This window comes from Homo sapiens, chromosome 12 (genome assembly GCF_000001405.40).
Source record: "Homo sapiens chromosome 12, GRCh38.p14 Primary Assembly".
Classification (NCBI taxonomy): domain Eukaryota; kingdom Metazoa; phylum Chordata; class Mammalia; order Primates; family Hominidae; genus Homo; species Homo sapiens.
Window position 1 is genome coordinate 104,324,530 of NC_000012.12, and position 17,904 is coordinate 104,342,433.

At 39.7% G+C, this 17,904-nt stretch overlaps 1 protein-coding gene across 7 annotated transcripts in view, besides 1 other annotated feature; it reads left to right on the forward strand.

The window, feature by feature from the left end:
• Window positions 1–17,904, forward strand: part of TXNRD1 (thioredoxin reductase 1) — a 134,529-nt gene that overhangs the window by 108,751 nt on the left and 7,874 nt on the right. For all 7 annotated transcript variants that reach the window (NM_001093771.3, NM_001261445.2, NM_003330.4 and 4 more), the window contains 6 exons: window positions 808–900; window positions 1,818–1,894; window positions 2,986–3,142; window positions 7,005–7,112; window positions 9,708–9,803; window positions 14,610–14,744. In NM_001093771.3, the coding sequence (NP_001087240.1) occupies window positions 808–900; window positions 1,818–1,894; window positions 2,986–3,142; window positions 7,005–7,112; window positions 9,708–9,803; window positions 14,610–14,744 (666 nt within the window). The remainder of the gene's footprint in view (window positions 1–807; window positions 901–1,817; window positions 1,895–2,985; window positions 3,143–7,004; window positions 7,113–9,707; window positions 9,804–14,609; window positions 14,745–17,904) is intronic.
• Window positions 16,287–16,456: an enhancer, noted in NCBI's record as "experimental_23854 CRE fragment used in MPRA reporter constructs". NCBI's record gives its function as "activates a minimal promoter by MPRAs in K562 erythroleukemia cells, with activity observed for both the introgressed and non-introgressed 12:104734679 variant alleles {active_cell/tissue: K562}" and the evidence as "EXISTENCE:reporter gene assay evidence [ECO:0000049][PMID:34662402]".

Here is a 17,904-nt window from a genome sequence, read left to right on the forward strand (position 1 = left end):
TTAGTAGAGACGGGGTTTCACTATGTTGGTCAGGCTGGTCTCGATCTCCTGACCTCATGATCCTCCCGCCTCGGCCTCCCAAAGTGCTGGGATTACAGGCGTGAGCCACCGCACCCGACCCCAGGTGGGTTTCTAAGTCATTATACCTAGTCTGTAGGTTGTTGTTGACATCTATTTGTAGTAGGTTGGTATATTTATTCTCCTCTGCCATCACTCAAGTATCAGGGCTTGCTCATTTCTTTCTGCATCCTTAACAACTGAAAACACCCCCTGGTTCTGATAAACACCCACATCTCCTTGCCCACTCCGATTTTTAAGACTTTGTAACTGTTACCCATATCACTATGGACCTGCTGTAATGTAATCTATCCTTTGTTGTCAATGAAAGCTGAGCATCTGTAGTCAAAAGAGAATCTCTGAATTTGGGCAACAGTTGCCCTCCATGGGATTAATGATTCTGGGTGAATCACAAGATAGAAACCTGGGAAAAGCAGTAAGTCATTGGTTTGATTTTAGGGATGGTAGTGTGCTTTCTGTAGCTTGCTTTTCCCCCCCATTTTTCTCTGAATTTTATTGTTTGAGAACTCTTTCAAAGAAAGCCCCTCTAGCAGACAACATTGAGCAGCGAAAAAGAAGGAAATAATCATTTATCATCCTAATAATGTTAAGTGAGGGAGATGGGACATAAAAGACTTTTCAAGCACGATTTTATATTTTAACTTTGGGTTAACCAGATGGAAGGGGAAGGTAGAGAATCCAACTTGATAAATGTCTTTATTTCACAGTAAAACTTTATCACTCTTACAGGTTGAACAAATTGAAGCAGGGACACCAGGCCGACTCAGAGTAGTAGCTCAGTCCACCAATAGTGAGGAAATCATTGAAGGAGAATATAATACGGTAAGGAATGGGCCCAGGTTAATACTTTATCAGAAAGCAAATAACATGCTTATTGGGTATCTTATAGGAACTTAAAATGGCTCTTAGTGATTTCCAAATGTACTGGTTCTATGCCAATTCTTAGACATCTCAATAACTTATGATATTAAAATTTGTTTTGGTGGCCAGGTGTGTTAGCTCACGCCTGTAATCCCAGCACTTTGGGAGGCCAAGGCGGGCAGATCACGAGGTCAAGGGATCGGGACCATCCTGGCCAACGTGGTGAAACCCCGACTCTACTAAAAATACAAAAATTAGCCGGGCGTGGTGGCGTGCGCCTGTAGTCCCAGCTATTCGGGACGTTGAGGCAGGAGAATCGCTTGAACCCAGGAGACCTAGGTTGCAGTGAGCCGAGATTGTGCCACTGCACTCCAGCCTGGGTGACAGAGCGAGACTCCATCTCAAAAAAAAAAAAAAAAAGTTGTTTTGGTAAACGGATGGCTTCAGATTTTTTCCACTGTAACTTAAAGTATTATTAGTCAAATGGCTATACAAAGGCAACAGAATTTTTAAATGAGCCAGAATTTCTGTCCCGTGTTCTTTCCTTTCATCTCCCCACGCAACCACTTAAAAAATAATTTAGTTACAGACTATGATGTCATTGTCTTTAAACTTGGATAGGTTTATTAAGGCATTATGAATTCTCTTTTTCCTAATCAGAAGTGGAAAATAATTTCTACTATATCATATATGTTCAAAGGATTTTTTTCTGAAGATTTTAATTTATTTAAACTCTTGCATTACTTTCTTACTGAAATATTTATTTCCAAGTTTGAAAAATGAAATCAGATTAGCTTAATAAGCAGAGAAAAATATGATTAGGTAATAAATGCAAAGCCTTTTTGTTATTAGTCACTAATATATTAATAATTTTTCAGGTGATGCTGGCAATAGGAAGAGATGCTTGCACAAGAAAAATTGGCTTAGAAACCGTAGGGGTGAAGATAAATGAAAAGTAAGAAAAAAATCTTTATTATGTCATATTTGTGGGATTTTTTTTTTTTTTTTTTTTTTGAGATGGAGTTTCTCTCTTGTCTCCCAGGCTGGAGTACAATGGCACGATCTCGGCTCACTGCAACCTCCGTCCCCTGGGATCAAGCCATTCTCCTGCCTCAGCCTCCCATGTAGCTGGGATTACAGGCATGCACCACCACACCTGGCTAATTTTTGTATTTTTAGTAGAGATGGGGTTTCGCCATGTTGGTCAGGCTGGTGTCGAACTCCTGACCTCAGGTGATCCACCTGCCTTGGCCTCCCAAAGTGCTGGGATTACATGTGTGAGCCACTGTGCCTGGCCCATTATGTCATATTTAATACTATTTCAGTTATTTACAGCATTGGTCAATTATAGAATTTTAGTTTTTTGTTGGTATGTTTGTTTTTTTGAGACAGAGTCTCGCTCTGTCACCCAGGCTGGAGTGCAGTAGTGCAATCTCATGTCACTGCCACCTCTGCTTCCTGTGTTCAAGTGATTCTTGTGCCTCAGCCTCCCTGGTAGCTGGATTACAGGCGCCTGCCATCACACCTATAATCATGCTGGCCAGGCTGGTCTCCATCTTTTGGCCTCTAGTGATCTACCCACATCAGCCTCCCAAAGTGTTGGGATTACAGGTGTGAGCCACTGTGCCTGGCCGAATTTTAGATTTTTTAAACCTAATTTTTACCATAGTTGAGCTCTTCAACTATGAAGAAATGAAACTTTTCTTCCAGTGCCATTCACATTAGTGTTTCCTGTTTGTTTTCTTTTATCCATTTTGAGGGGAGTTATAATTTAGAATCCTCACTCTTAACCACTGTGTTGGAGTTCTTCCATTCTCAGATTTCTTAGAGTTTTCTTATTTCTTTGATTTTCAGAACCGTGGACAGAATTGTCATTATCTGATAAGATTTTTGTTCCTTTGAGCTGTTTTGTTTTATTTTTAACACATTAGAACATTGCCCTCAGCTAGAGTCACAATTTTGGGCTTCCCTGAAAAAACGGAAGATTTTGTTCTCCTTAATTAATAATGGTAATTAATGATGATTTTTAACTGAATAAAATTGCAGGACTGGAAAAATACCTGTCACAGATGAAGAACAGACCAATGTGCCTTACATCTATGCCATTGGCGATATATTGGAGGATAAGGTGGAGCTCACCCCAGTTGCAATCCAGGCAGGAAGATTGCTGGCTCAGAGGCTCTATGCAGGTTCCACTGTCAAGGTGAGTGTTGTGCTTGTTGCCCATTAGATACTGTTGTCAGTAATACTCCCAGTTCCTTATTTAGGGGGCAGTTGGGAAGTTTCGCAGATCTTGAATAATTTAGTTATTTTGGTGATGGCATCCTAGATGTCCTTTATTAGTTGTATTCCAGACAAGATATTATTAAGGCTGCTGTACATTGTGACTTTATTATGAAGATCGACACTCCGCCGGGCACAGTGGCTCATGCCTGTAATCCCAATACTTTGGGAGGCTGAGGCAGGCAGATCACCAGGTCAGGAGTTCAAGACCAGCCTGGCCAACATGGCGAAACCCCATCTCTACTAAAAATACAAAAATTAGCTGGGCATGGTGGCGCATGCCTGTAATCCCAGCTACTCAGGAGGCTGAGGCAGGAGAATTGCTTGAACGGGGAACTGGGAGGCAGAGGTTGCAGTGAGCCAAGATTGTGCCACTCTACTCCTGCCATGGCTACAGAGCGAGACTCCATCTAAAAAAAAAAATTAAAAAAAAAAAAAAGAAAATTGACATCTTGGATTCACATTATGAATAAAAAGAGCTTGATTAATCAAGTTTTCAGCACTGTTGTTGAATAGTGTACTTTATATCCATATACTCTAAACAGTTGTATTTTATGTCAATTTCATCATTACCAGTATAAATAAAATGTTCTGAGTCTTTTTATGGCACTTATCTAGGCTATAAAAGGACTTGAGGATTTAGGTAATGGTGTCAGTGTACAAAGTAGCTTAAACCACTATTCAGGCCTTATTACCCAGTCCTTAGAAAATATCTGTCTTAGAGGCCAGGTGCGTTGGCTCATGCCTGTAATCCCAGCACTTTGGGAGGCTGATGCAGGCAGATCACGAGGTCAGGAGATTGAGACCATTCTGGCTAACATGGTGAAACCCTGTGTCTACTAAAAATACAAAAAATTAGCCGGCCGTGGTGGTGGCGGGCGCCTGTAGTCCCACCTACTCTGGAGGCTGAGGCAGGAGAATGGCCTGAACCCGGGAGGCGGAGCTTGCCGTGAGCCGAGATTGCACCACTGCACTCCAGCCTGGGTGACAGAGTGAGACTCTGCCTCAAAAAAAAAAAAAAAAAAAAAGGAAAATATCTGTTTTAGGATGTTGAATATGTTAAATGTTATATTGAATTTTAAAATGATTTTTTAAAAGTCAGTATAGGATGTTAAAACTCTTCAGTATGTTTCATGGGACTAGATGGCCAGAAAAGAATAAAGACAGCTGTTTTTTAAAAAGGTTTCCAGAAACATTAGTTGTAAAGAATTTTGGCATTACCCATTTTCCTTACATTGGTTTCAGTTGGTTACAGTAATGGGAATCTCAAAAAGTGATGCTAGCAAAATTTGTGACCTGGGGTTATTTGGGATGTAGCATAATAAAATCTCATATTTTGAATTAATGGATTGAGGGTTAAAAAAGATTTTGAATGCCAGATTGACTGATTATTGAGGGAATAGCAGTTGGTTCGTATTACTATTTAGAATAAATTTAACAAGACTACCTCTTTGAATTACATCTTGTATGCATTGTTGCAGTTGTTGAGTATCTGGTACCTCAATATAGCTTGAGATTGGATGCACTTAATTTATTCTTAAATTCATGTCTCAGTGGTTTCCTTAAAAAAAAAAGGCTAAAACATTGAATGGAGTTGTACTTTAAAGTAAGGGGTACAGCTGGGCACAGTGGCTCACACCTGTAACCCAGCACATTGGGAGGCTGAGGCAGGAGGATCACTTGCCCAGGAATTCGAAACCAGCCTGGGCAACATGGTGAAACCCTATCTCTACAAAATATACAAAAAATGAGATCGGTGAGGTGGTGCGTGCCTCTAGTCCCAGCTACACAGAGCGCTGAGGTGGAAGAATCACCCGAACTTGGGAGGTGAAGGCTGCAGTGAGCTGTGATCACACACTGCAGTCCAGCCTGGGCATCAGAGTAAGACCCTGTCTCCAAAAAAAAAAATAAATAAATAAAATAAATTCATGGATCTTTTTGTTTCTGTTGGACATACTCTTCTCTGTCTCAGCCGTAATCTAGGAAGACCTCTACAGACCTCAAGAACTCTCTTTATGCGTGCAATTCCATCCTTTCTGGTTTTCTGCCTTGCAACTTGAAACCACCTTGGCTTCCAGGAAAGACCCTGGGCTCTGTTTGAGCTCTCCCTCTCTGCACTGAGGCTTAGAAACTGTCTCTGAGCAGTAAGCTGGAGCAGTCACAGGACTCATCTCATTTGTTTCCCTTCCCGCAGGGATCACAGGCTTGCACTGCCTCTTGGTCGATGTCTTAAAATGTGTTGCTTCATCCCTGTCTGGTTTCCTAGTTGTTTAAAGCAGGAGGGTAAATGTGGTCCCTGATACACCACTGTGGTATAAGTGGTTGTCTGCCTTTACTTTTAAATTAGAATTCCAAGGTTCTATGTATTTTTTTTTAGAGAAAATGGATTATATTTATTGTTTCTAGAGGGGAGCATATTTTAAAGATTTTATCTCCCTGTTTTAGAGAGTGAGAATTGTACTTCTCTTATTTTAAATGCAGAATGTTACTTTGGATCGCCTCTGTGTATAAGTATAACTGCTAGGCTTTTACCAGATGGCATTATAAACCCTTGGCATTTACATAATATATTTTTTCACAATTCACAGCATATTAAAAGTTCTGAGAAATCTGATAGAGGAACTCATTTATTTGCTTAATCCAGTTCTTTACAAGTTCATTTGACTATGGAATCCCCTTGTCATCTATACCTGTTAACATCATACAGTATGCTTTGAAAAATAGTCCTAAGAGTTAACCTTTTTTTCCCCATGGTCTTCTTTACCATTTTAATGGCTGCATAGTGCAGTTTTACATTAAGGGTGTGAACTATAGAACCATTTCCTAATTGGGATTTTTTTTTACTTTTTTTTGAGACGAAGACTCACTCTTGTCCCCCAGGCTGGAGTGCAATGGCGTGATCTTGGCTCACTGCAACCTCTGCCTCCCGGGTTCAAGCGATTCTCCTGCCTCAGCCTCCCGAGTAGCTGAGATTACAGGCGCCTGCCACCACGCCCAGCTAATTTTTGTATTTTTTAGTAGAGATGGGGTTTCACCATGTTAGCCAGGCTGGTCTCGAACTCCTGACCTCAGGTGATCCACTAGCCTCAGCCTCCCAAAGTGCTCGGATTACAGGTGTGAGCCACTGCGCCCGGCCCTAATTGGGATTTTTAAGCCATTCCAACATTGCCACTATTGAGTACTACAGCAATGTTCAGTTAATACATGTAGCCTTTTCTGTATATCAAACTATTACTATGTTAGTATTGTATATTATAGTAAAATATAGTAATATATCGTACTATATATCTATATGTTAAATTATAATATCTATAATCTTATTATAGATTTCTAAAGGTGGGATTATTGGGCCAAAAGGATAAAATGTTTTATGGCTGTTAATATTACCTAATTGATGTTTTAAAGAAATCTTTTAATTTTTTATCACTGATAATCCAAAACTATCAGATTTGGGTACACCAGTATTATTTTTGGCTGCTTTATTAAGGGGAAAAAAGTGTGTCATTGTTGATAACATCAGTTGGTTGATGGATGGAGAAGCTGCATGAATCTTTTTCTCATAGTCTTACCAGACTTCACACTTCTATCCACTAAACTTTTCAAATAAGTTAATGGTTCTCAATGTAGTAGATTAATTAATTAATATCTCGGATTGAGACTTCACATACTTTGGTAGAAATTTATTACTCTTATATCCTTTGTCAATTTTGACTTTTTTGAATACCTTTTTTTTTAAGTTATAACTTTGCCTATTATAACTCCTTACCTCCATTTTTAAACAGTGTGACTATGAAAATGTTCCAACCACTGTATTTACTCCTTTGGAATATGGTGCTTGTGGCCTTTCTGAGGAGAAAGCTGTGGAGAAGTTTGGGGAAGAAAATATTGAGGTAAGTTCTTTTCCTCTTTTCTCCTATGTTATATCACTACTTTTTTTTCTTCAGAATTTAAAATATATAGAAGACTTAAAAAATAGTACAAAGCATTTTCATATACCCGTTATCCAGATTCATATATTACTAACATTGTGCCAATTTATTTTATACACTTTTAGTAGTCTCTCATTCTGTGTGTGTGTGTGTGTGTTTCTGTGAATCATTTGAGAGTAAGTTGAATTCTCCTTTACCCCTAAATACTTTATTGTGTATTTCTATGAACGAGGGCATTTTCTTATATAGCCGTAGTGTAGTTACCACTTTCAGGAAATTTGGTATTGGTGTAATATTTTTATCTGATTTAATTTTCATTTTCTAATTCTGTCAGTTGACCCAATCGTATTTCCTTTTACTTTTTAAAATCACATTTATTGATTTCTCTGGGTTAATTATAGGAAAATGAAAAGAAAAAATAAAAATTTTTCACTGCTCCTACCATTAGTACTACTTGTTTCTAGCATTACTCTCTAATTTGTACTAACTTTTCTGCTCACATTTTATCATGGAGTCAAAGAAAATGCACATGAAATACACTGTTTCTGTATACACAAATAATGCCACCCAAAAGGACTGCTGTTTTAAATCATTTTAGGGAAAATTTCCAATAAAACCTTTTGAAAGACCAAATTTGTGAATAAGTCAATTTTTAAAAATAAAAAGCCTATTTTAAATCTCTTAATAATCTTTTTCTTTATTACATGCACTGGTAGTAGCATGTAATATGTTGGTCTATTAGTAACACATTATTAACCTTTTTTTCTGATTATAAGAATAGTATATCTGGCTGGCATGGTGGCTCATGCCTGTAATCTCAGCACTTTGGGAGGCCGAGGTGGGTGGATCACCTGAGGCCAGGAGTTTGAGACCAGCCTGACCAACGTGGAGAAACCCCATCTCTACTAAAAATATGAAATTAGCCAGGAGTGGTGGTGCATGCCTGTAATCCCAGCTACTTGGGAAGCTGAGGCAGGAGAATCGCTTGAACCCGGGAGGCGGAGGTTGCAGTGAGCCAAGATTGCGCCATTGCACTCCAGCCTGGGCAACAAGAGAGAAACTCCGTCTCAAAAAAAAAAAAAAAAAAAAAAGAATAGTATATCTTTATTATAGGAAGTTTCAAAATTAGGAAAATATCAAAAAGGAAATTTTAATTCATGAAGAGATAACTGCTATTAATATTTTTGTGTATTTCCTTCCAGTTTCTTTTTCTCTAAATATTTTGATGCGTTTTTATATTTTATGTATATATATATGTGTGTGTGATTTTGTGTGAGTATGTATGTCTTAATGTTTTTCAAAGTTTGATGAAGTTACAGTTTTAGGTCCAAGCTTAATATTAATGTTATGTCATGAACATTTCCTGTCTTTAATTCTCTAAAATCTCCATTTAAAAAAAATGTGTAATTCTTCTTTTAAGGGGTGCTATACTGTAATTTGTTAAGCCATTCTTTGATTAGGTTGTTTACAGTTTTTCATTATTATAAATAGAATTGACATCTTCATAATTCATTGTTTCTCAGTTTATTTTTTGAAGATAGATTTCCTGTGTGAGTGTGTATATACATGACATACATATATAATTAAAATTTGAAATTTTTAATATATATTTCATATTTCTTGATAGACAATATTTAAGTTTTTTAAAATTTGCTTTGTTATTATAGAAGTATAACGTGTTTGAGTTGAAGAAACTTTGAAAAATGTAAGGGAAAGAGGAAACAATTACTTATGGAGTTAGAGCTGTAACAGCAATTGTTAGCAATTTGGGGTGATTCCTTTAATTTTTTTCCTATATAATTGTGATACTATGATACTGTACATTAAATTTTGTAACCCATGTTTATTTTTAAAATTATATTATTTATCACAACATCGAAGAACACTTGTTATGTCTTCATAATCAGTTTGCTCGTAAAAGGTAGCGAATCATGTTTTGAACTGAGGCTAGCAGCTGGAGGAAAAAAAAAATCCATTTAGTCAACCAGCAATTAAATTAGTAAGGATGCTGTCGTTCCACCCTTCCTTCCTCCTTTCCTTCCCTATCTCCTTCCTTCTTTCCTTCCCTATCTCCTTCCTTCATTGCTTTTAGTGAATAATGCCAAAGGAGGAAATGTCTTTTGGAAGCATTTAGCAAGAGAACTAGATAATTACCTTAATTGATCCTGGCACCTTATTTGTTTCTTGCCCAAGTTGTCATTCACAGTGGATAACAAGATAGTATTGAGTTTGGGTGTGTGTGTGTTTTCAATGTATGACAGCAGGTAATTAAATGGCTTATTTCTGTCATTCCCTTGCTCTTTTTTGTTATTAGTTAGGGTGTACTATTTTGAGGTAGAGATATACATAATTAAGGGATGAGCTTATAGCAAAAGTGCCTGACAGCAAGGAGTTGAAAGTCATTTACCTTTTGACCAGATTCCTATTTATTCCATGAATTTTATTATTTAATGAAAGTCTACTTATTAAAGAGTCTCTACTGTCTTTCACCATATATGTTTGACAGACTTAATGTTTAAAATAATGGGTCTAAATTTTGCTTTTGTATCTTCTTAGGTTTACCATAGTTACTTTTGGCCATTGGAATGGACGATTCCGTCAAGAGATAACAACAAATGTTATGCAAAAATAATCTGTAATACTAAAGACAATGTAAGTTTAATTCTCAATCCTTTCCAGTAATTTTATTTAGTTGTTGTTTTTTGTTGTTGTTTTTTTTTTAGATGGAGTCTTGCTCTGTTGCCCAGGCTGGAGTGCAGTGGCGCTATCTCTGCTCACTGCAACCTCCGCCTCCCGGGTTCAAGTGATTCTCCTGCCTCAGCCTCCCAACTAACTGGGATTACAGACTTGCGCCACCACACTGGCTAATTTTTGTAGACGGGGGTTTCACCATGTTGGCCAGGCTGGTCTTGAACACCTGACCTCGTAATCTGCCTGTCTCGGCCTCCCAAGGTGCTGGAATGTACAGGCGTGAGCCACCATACCCGGCTTTAGTTTTTAATATATAGCTTAGTTGGTCACATGGTGCAGATGGCATTCCTTCAGTATTTCGCGTGCCAGTTGTCTCAGCTGATAGATATCAGCAGCTGGCAAGGACCTTGGCTGCACTGCCTGCTGCCCCCTCATCTTCACTGGCACAGGGCCCTACACTTAGTCAACAGGCAGCCAAAACTTACTGAGTGAAGGAACCAAAGGCACAACTTGAGAACTGTCTATGTTTGTGTTTATAGAAGAGGAACAATAAAGTCATCGACTATCTAAATATAATGAATAACAAAAAAGAACAGGAGCAATGCACGTTTGATCCTCAGCAGCTGGCACTACTAAGAAAGAGCTCTTAATTGAGTTCTAAGATTTCATTGCCTGATGCTACATGTAATGCTAGTCTGGTGTTATTACGTGTAAATCTAATGTATTTTAAGTGCTTTTTAGTAGTCCTCCCACAGATATACTTTATTCATACCATAAACCCCCAACTGTCCAGGTGAATAAGAGTACAATATGCAATATATTACAGTCCTTTTTTTTTTTTTTTTTTTGAGACGGAGTCTTGCTCTGTTGCCCAGGCTGGAGTGCAGTGGCGTGATCTTGGTTCACTGCAACCTTCGCCTCCCAGGTTCAAGTGATTTTCCTGCCTCAGCCTCCCAAGTAGCTGGGATTACAGGCACCCACCACCATGCCCAGCTATTCTGTATTTTTAGTAGAGACGGGGTTTCACCATGTTGGCCAGGCTGGTCTCGAACTCCTGACCTCAGGTGATCCGTCTGCCTTGGTCTCCCAAAGTGCTGGGATTACAGGTGTGAGCCACCGCGCCCGGCCTATTACAGTACTTTTTTAGCAGAAACCTGTGAAAGCCTGTGAGCAAACTCTATACCTCACAGGGTTTTTTTCCATATATATGAAATGAGGGATTGGATAATTCATATTTTTTAAAGTTTTTTGACTGTGGGACACTGGTATATTCATATACACACACTCTCTTTAATATTGACTCTTAAGAAAACTGATCTTTTTAACTTAGCTAACACTTTTTAAAGAAACGACCTCAGTAAAAATATAAATGATGTTAAAGAATCTGTATGTTAAAAGCCTAGTAAACTGATAATGTTTTAATCTTGAAATTTGAATATAATTAAGCCATGTATCCTATTTGGAAACTACTGCTTTAGGCAGTAGGACAGTTACAGGTTGGTTTTTTGGTAAAACCAAGGGTTTTAGAAAACATTTTCTTGAATCCTCTGCAAAAAAGATTCAAATGAATATACTAGGATAACCCATAATGAGCTACACAGCTAACATAAATAACAATTGTATATATAGTTGTCTTTTTCTTTTTAGGCAAATTTTCTCAAAAGTTTATTTATATGAGTATACATTAGATATCACTTTTACTGCAGACAAAAGGAGAAAATGTCAGCCATTCTCACTGGCAGTATATTAACTGCCCCTGTCTCACTGAGAGAGACTTCAATTGCTCATAGCAGTCAGTGAAACCTTGAAGGTTTCCTTCCTACCAAGCAAATCCATTTTAACCATATGTATTTTGCTCTTTTTTCAATGTTACATTTGTTCAAATGGCATTGCTAGAATAATGTGGAAAATAATTTTCCTACCAATAAACCTGTCAGTAGTTGAGGTCATAAGTAGGGTGACAGTGTTTTCGGTTATTTTCATAGATAAAGATAGTAATAGAGAAGATGAATATCTGTTACTGCTCTTTTGTCATGAGTAATCTGAGGTAAAAGCTTGTAGAACTTCACTATCCCTGGGGCGTGCTTTATTCATTTTGAATCAGTCACTTGACTTCAGTGTCTAAATGTCCTTGATTCTAAATTGTACTTACAATGTTTATTATCTGCTGGCTTTTGTTCTCTGCTATTTTATTTTTTTTTACATAAAATATTTATAATAAAGATGAAGAAGGTACTCACCATCCAAAGTCAAGGAATGTTAACATTTTTGCTGTATTTGTTTCAGGGCTTTTTTCTTATAAGAGATAAACCATCATATATGCAGTTTATAACAGCTTATATTTATTGAGCACTTACTGTGTACCAGGCACTATAGAGCTCTACAGGTATTAACTTATTTAATCCTTACACAGTCCTGTGAGGTATATATGCTATTGTTTCCCCCTTTTTATAGATGAGGAAACTGAAGCACATGGAAGTTAAGTAACTGTGCTCAAATCATTTACCTAGGGAAGGGCAGATCTGTACATTTATTCTCACACAATGTAGATACCATGCTATTAACTATTATCTTATGCCTATGCAGTCTTCTGTCTTCCTTCACTTCAAAAGGTAAAACTTTGAAGTCGAAGGGTCTCATGCTTACGTTCTTATGTTTGCCACCTATTTATGAATGCATACACATTATACAGTGTTCGTGGTTTAATTGCAGGTGGCATCCTCATTATGTAGAGCTCTGCAACTTTTTAATAATCTCTTGTTTTTTGAGACCCTTTCCACATTATTACATGGAAATCTATTTTAAGTGCTTTTTAGTAGTTCCTCCTATGGATACGCTTTATTCATACCATAAACCCGGAATCGTCAGGGCGAATATGTGTAAGAGTACCATATGCAATATATTACAGTCCTTTTGTCAACAGAACAACCTCCTGATTGTTTCCAGGGAGTGATGGAACCTTAGACAAGCTCTGCACCCCACAGCCTGAGTTGCCTCATCTGTTATGACGAGATTGCACTAGATAGTCTAGTCAGAGTCTGCGCTGAAAATCTATCAGCTCAACAGTAGAGTGCATCAGATTTCTCTGCTTTTGGCAGAGGTAGCCAGAGTTTGAGATTTCAAATTTATCCAAAATAATTTCTACACAGGTATTTTAGAGTGCCAGACATTTTTCTTTTGCTTTCAAAAATGTTTTCAGACTTTGCTGGGCACAGTGGCTCACGCCTGTAATCCCAGCACTTTGGGAGGCCGAGGTGGGTGAACTGCTTAAGCTCACAAGTTCGGGACCAGCCTAGACAACATGGCAAAACCCCATGTCTATTAAAAACAAAACAAAACAAAAATGTTTTCAGACTTTAATGGTCTTGCACTATTTATCCTCAAAACCTTATTTAAAATTACTTTTAAAATTTTATTTGTATTTTATTTTTTAGAGACAGGGTCTTACTTTATCACCCAGGATAGAGTGCAGTGGTGTGATCATAGCTCACTGCAGCCTCGACCTCCTGGGCTCAAGCATTCCTCCCACCTCAGCCTCCCAAGTAGCTGGGACTACAGATGTGAGCCACTGTGCCCAGCTAATTTTTTTTTTTTTTTTTTTTTCCTGTAGGGACAGAGTCTCCCTATGTTGCCAGGCTGGTCTTGAATGCCTGGCCTCAGGTGATTCTCCTGCCTCAGCCTCCCAAAGTGCTGGGATTACAGGCTTGAGCTATGATGCCCAGTCAAAATTTTAATTTGAATGACTACTCTTAAGGGTCCCAGCTATTACAGATAGCCTCTGTGGAGCTGAGATGATCAAATACAGGACGTGAGGACACCCTGCCCTTTGATAATATTTTCCAGAACATTTTGGTGATTAAAGACTTGTAGGCATCTTTGCCTTTTGTATTTTTTCTCATAAAATTGAGTAAACACTTGTAGCTGTCCCTTGTCTCTTTGTTCCTGTTTGAAGTGAACATCATACTCTATGTTTTGGTTCATGTTGGGGAGTCTTTAGCCTAAGTAGCTGTTAGCAGCAGTCATTAAAGTCTCTGGCCATTTTTCCAGGTGCGGTGGCTCACACCTGTAATCCCAGCACTTTGGGAGGCCGAGGTGCGTGGATCACCTGAGATCAGGCATTCGAGACCAGCCTGGCCAACATGGCGAAACCCCGTCTCTACTAAAAATACAAAAAAATTAGCCGGGCATGGTAGCGCCTGCCTGTAGTCCCAGCTACTCGGGAGGCTGAGGCAAGAGAATCGCTTGAATCCAGGAGGCGGAGGTTGCGGTGAGTGGAGATCGCGCCATTGCACTCCAGCCTGGGCAAGAAGAGCAATACTCCATCTCAAAAAAAAAAAAAAGTCTCTGGTCATTTTCTTTTTTTGAGATGGAGTCTCGCTCTGTCGTCTAGGCTGGAGTGCAGTGGCACGATCTCGGCTCACTGCAAGCTCTGCCTCCTGGGTTCACGCCATTCTCCTGCCTCAGCCTCTCAAGTAGCTGGAACTACAGGCACCCGCCACCACGCCCGGCTAATTTTTTGTATTTTTAGTAGAGACGGGGTTTCACCGTGTTAACCAGGATGGTCTCGACCTCCTGACCTCGTGATCCACCTGCCTCGGCCTCCCAAAGTGCTGGGATTACAGGCGTGAGCCACTGCGCCCGGCCAGTCTCTGGTCATTTTTGAGTTGGATTTTTAAGAAACAGACTGGAGAAATGCTCTAAGCTGTGTAGGAAGAGGAGGGGAGAAAAATCAGCTTAATTGCATTATTGTATTTTTTTTTGCCTTAGGAACGTGTTGTGGGCTTTCACGTACTGGGTCCAAATGCTGGAGAAGTTACACAAGGCTTTGCAGCTGCGCTCAAATGTGGACTGACCAAAAAGCAGCTGGACAGCACAATTGGAATCCACCCTGTCTGTGCAGAGGTGGGTCATCTACACTTATACAGTTTAAAATGTTTAAAATGTGCCACATAGAAGCACACCACCCAGCTTATACATGGCAGATGTAGGACCCTGAGTTTGATGATGATTCCTCAAAAGAGGGCTTTGTCTCTAAAAATTAGTTTTTGTCTTTCAATACTGATTGCTCATGGTATGAACTGGAGGCTTCCGTCATGTCGTTAAGTGGTAAAAATTATGAGAGTGATTTATAGAGCTGTGCCTTAAATATTTTATTTATCATATCTTCTAAATTATTTTCATGGCAATCAGTTAATAATGGAAGAGCTTCAATCTTAGTTATTCCACAGCTATCTTGAGGCTAATTGATACTGTCTGCCTCTTCAGCTTATGGTATCAGTGAATGAGATTTGAAAATGATGCTTTCAAAAGATCAAATGACAGTAGAACTAGAAATTGACCAATCTAGGCCTCTGGGTGTCAGTGTTTCTTCGCTACCAGTGATCATCCAAGAGTTGAATATTGTAATACTTAACTGCATAGGAATGGTAAGCCAAAAATGTGTTTATATTGGAGAACTTGGGAAGGTGTGGGAGGAGGCACGTCATACTATACCAGCTTATATATGGAGTTGAAAATTGCAGTGATTATCTGTTGTAGCCAGTGGCTTCCAAGGTGTACATTGCACTTGCAAACACGCACACACACACATATGCACATTGTTGCCAGATTTCATCCAGCAGCTCCATGACTGGTTGTTCTGTCTGTTCATGGTTGCTTTTGTACAACTGAACTCATTGCTGAGTATGTGGAATGTCAGCTTTAAGACCTGGAAAAACATTTTAGCTTTCTTTTGCTTTGTCTTCTCTGTGATCGAGAATCCTCCTCTATTAATAGGCACCTGGCTGGGATATAAGCCTAAAATATTAACATGTTGAGAGATTAGGGCATCATTTATTTCTTTCATTTATAGAAAGCTGCTGTTTTTGTGACGGAAATAGAATTAAGCTTCAAAAAAATATAAAAACTGAAGTCTTGATTAATGCCTTTAATGTGCAATAGATCTTTTATTCAGTGTAATGACTCAAACTGCCTGTGTTGGGAAGGAGCCAATTAACTTTGCTTTCTTGAGTACATTAGTTTCCCAGGGCTATTGTAACAAAGTACCACAAACTGGGTGGCTTAAAAATAGCAGATATTTCCTCCCTCTCAGTTCTGGAGGCAAAAAAGTCCAAACTCAAGATGTCAGCAGGGCCAAGCTCCCTCCAAAGGCACTAGGGAAGAATCCTCCCTTGCCTCTTCTTCTGTCTTCTAGTAGCAATGGCAATCCTTGGCGTTCCTTGGCTTGCAGATGTATCACTTTAATCTCTGCCCCCCTCTTCACATGGCCTCATCCCTTGTGTGTCTGTGTCCAAATTTCCCTCCTCTTTCTTATAAAGAAACTCCAGTCATTGGATTAGGGCCCACTCTAATCCAACATGATCTCATTTTCACTTGATTACATCTGCAAATACCCTATTTCCAAATTCACAAATACTGGGGGTTACGACTTGATCATGCCTTTTAGGGTTATGGGGACACAATTCAACCCACAATAGTGAGTATATTTAAAAATGTAGATGCCATTTCAAGATACTCACAAGCTTCAATAGCCATTTTTGATAGGGACGAAGGAAAAGACGATTTTATTGTCTTTTGTATATGAGTGTCTAATTTTTTGTCTGAATTCAGCTCTCAGTGGGCTTGTTGAAAGACTGCTGTGTGCTGGCCTCTGACCCCCTCAGGAGGCTATTGTGCTGTGATCCAGCAGCAGCGTACATGGCAGCATCTGGCAGGGTGACTGCCAGCTGAGCAGAAGGATGCAGTGAGGACACAGGACGTCTCCTGAAGCCCATGGCTGTGGGGAGGTCAGCCAAAGGCCTGTTCTCCTTGGTATGCCTGGCACATTTGAGGCTGTGCATCTCCATCTGTTGGTCCTCTTATGATGTTGAAGCTCAGAGGCTGAATGTTCTGGTGCTTTGATAGGACTCTGATACTTTGTTTTCCCCAAGCTGTTGGCTGATTAAGAAGATAAAAAAAATTGGGTGAAATCGCACTCTGTGAACACACTTCTCAAGCTGTGTACACAGTGCCGTGCTGGACACTGGGGACACAGCAGGGATTTGAGATAAGCTTAGGAGGAGAGGAGGCAGCTAGGTGATGTGCCAGTTAACAATTCTGCCTGACGGGTCCTAGGATCAGGGTAGATATAAAGTGCTGGAGGCACTGGGGTGCCACATTTGTGGTCTTTGCCTCAGGGATTCTTGTGATCTGTTTTTTTACTCACAGAGCACTTCTGACCCCAGATTTGTGGGGGTTTTGCTCACACGACCAATTCTCCAGCTTTCTAGACACCAGCTGGGTGTCTAGAAACAACCAATTGTCTAGAACAACCAATTCTCCAGCTTTCTAGACACCAGCTGGGTGACCTCTAATGTAACTCAATTCTGATACCAGCTGCCTGGAGTTAGCATCAGATCCTGCAAGGGCTCATTCCCATAAGACTGCCTCCACTGCAGAGGCCAGTGTCAAGCCCAGGCCTCCTGTACTTCTGACCTACCAGCTATAAAGTCAAGGGGTTCCCATGATAAATTGCTAGCATGGCTCACAGAACTCAGGAATAAACTTTACTTATATTTACTTGTTTATTATAAAGGTTGCAACTCAGGAACAGCCAAATGGAAGAGATACACAGGGCAAGGTGGTTGTGGGGAGGCGGGGGACAACAGAGCTTCCATGTCCTCTCTAGGTGTGGCATCTTCCCAGCACCTTGATATTCACCAACCTGGAAGTTCTCCAAACCCCTTATTTAGGGGTGTTTATAGAGGTCCCATTATGTAGGCATGATTGATTAATCATTGGCCATTGGTAATTACCCAATCTCCTGCTCCCTCCCCAGATGTAGGGGACCAGAACTGGGGCTAAAAATTCTACCTCTGATGACATGGTTGGTTCCTCTGGCAACCAGCTGCCATCTTGAAGCTATCTAGGGCCCCACCAAGAGTCACATCATTAGCATAAGCTCAGGTGTGGTTGAAAGGGGCTCATTATGAATAGCAAAAGATGCTCATCTCACTAGTGTCACTCGGGAAATTCCAAGGGTTTTAGAAGCTCCCTTGCCAGGAACCAGGGACAGGATGGAAGA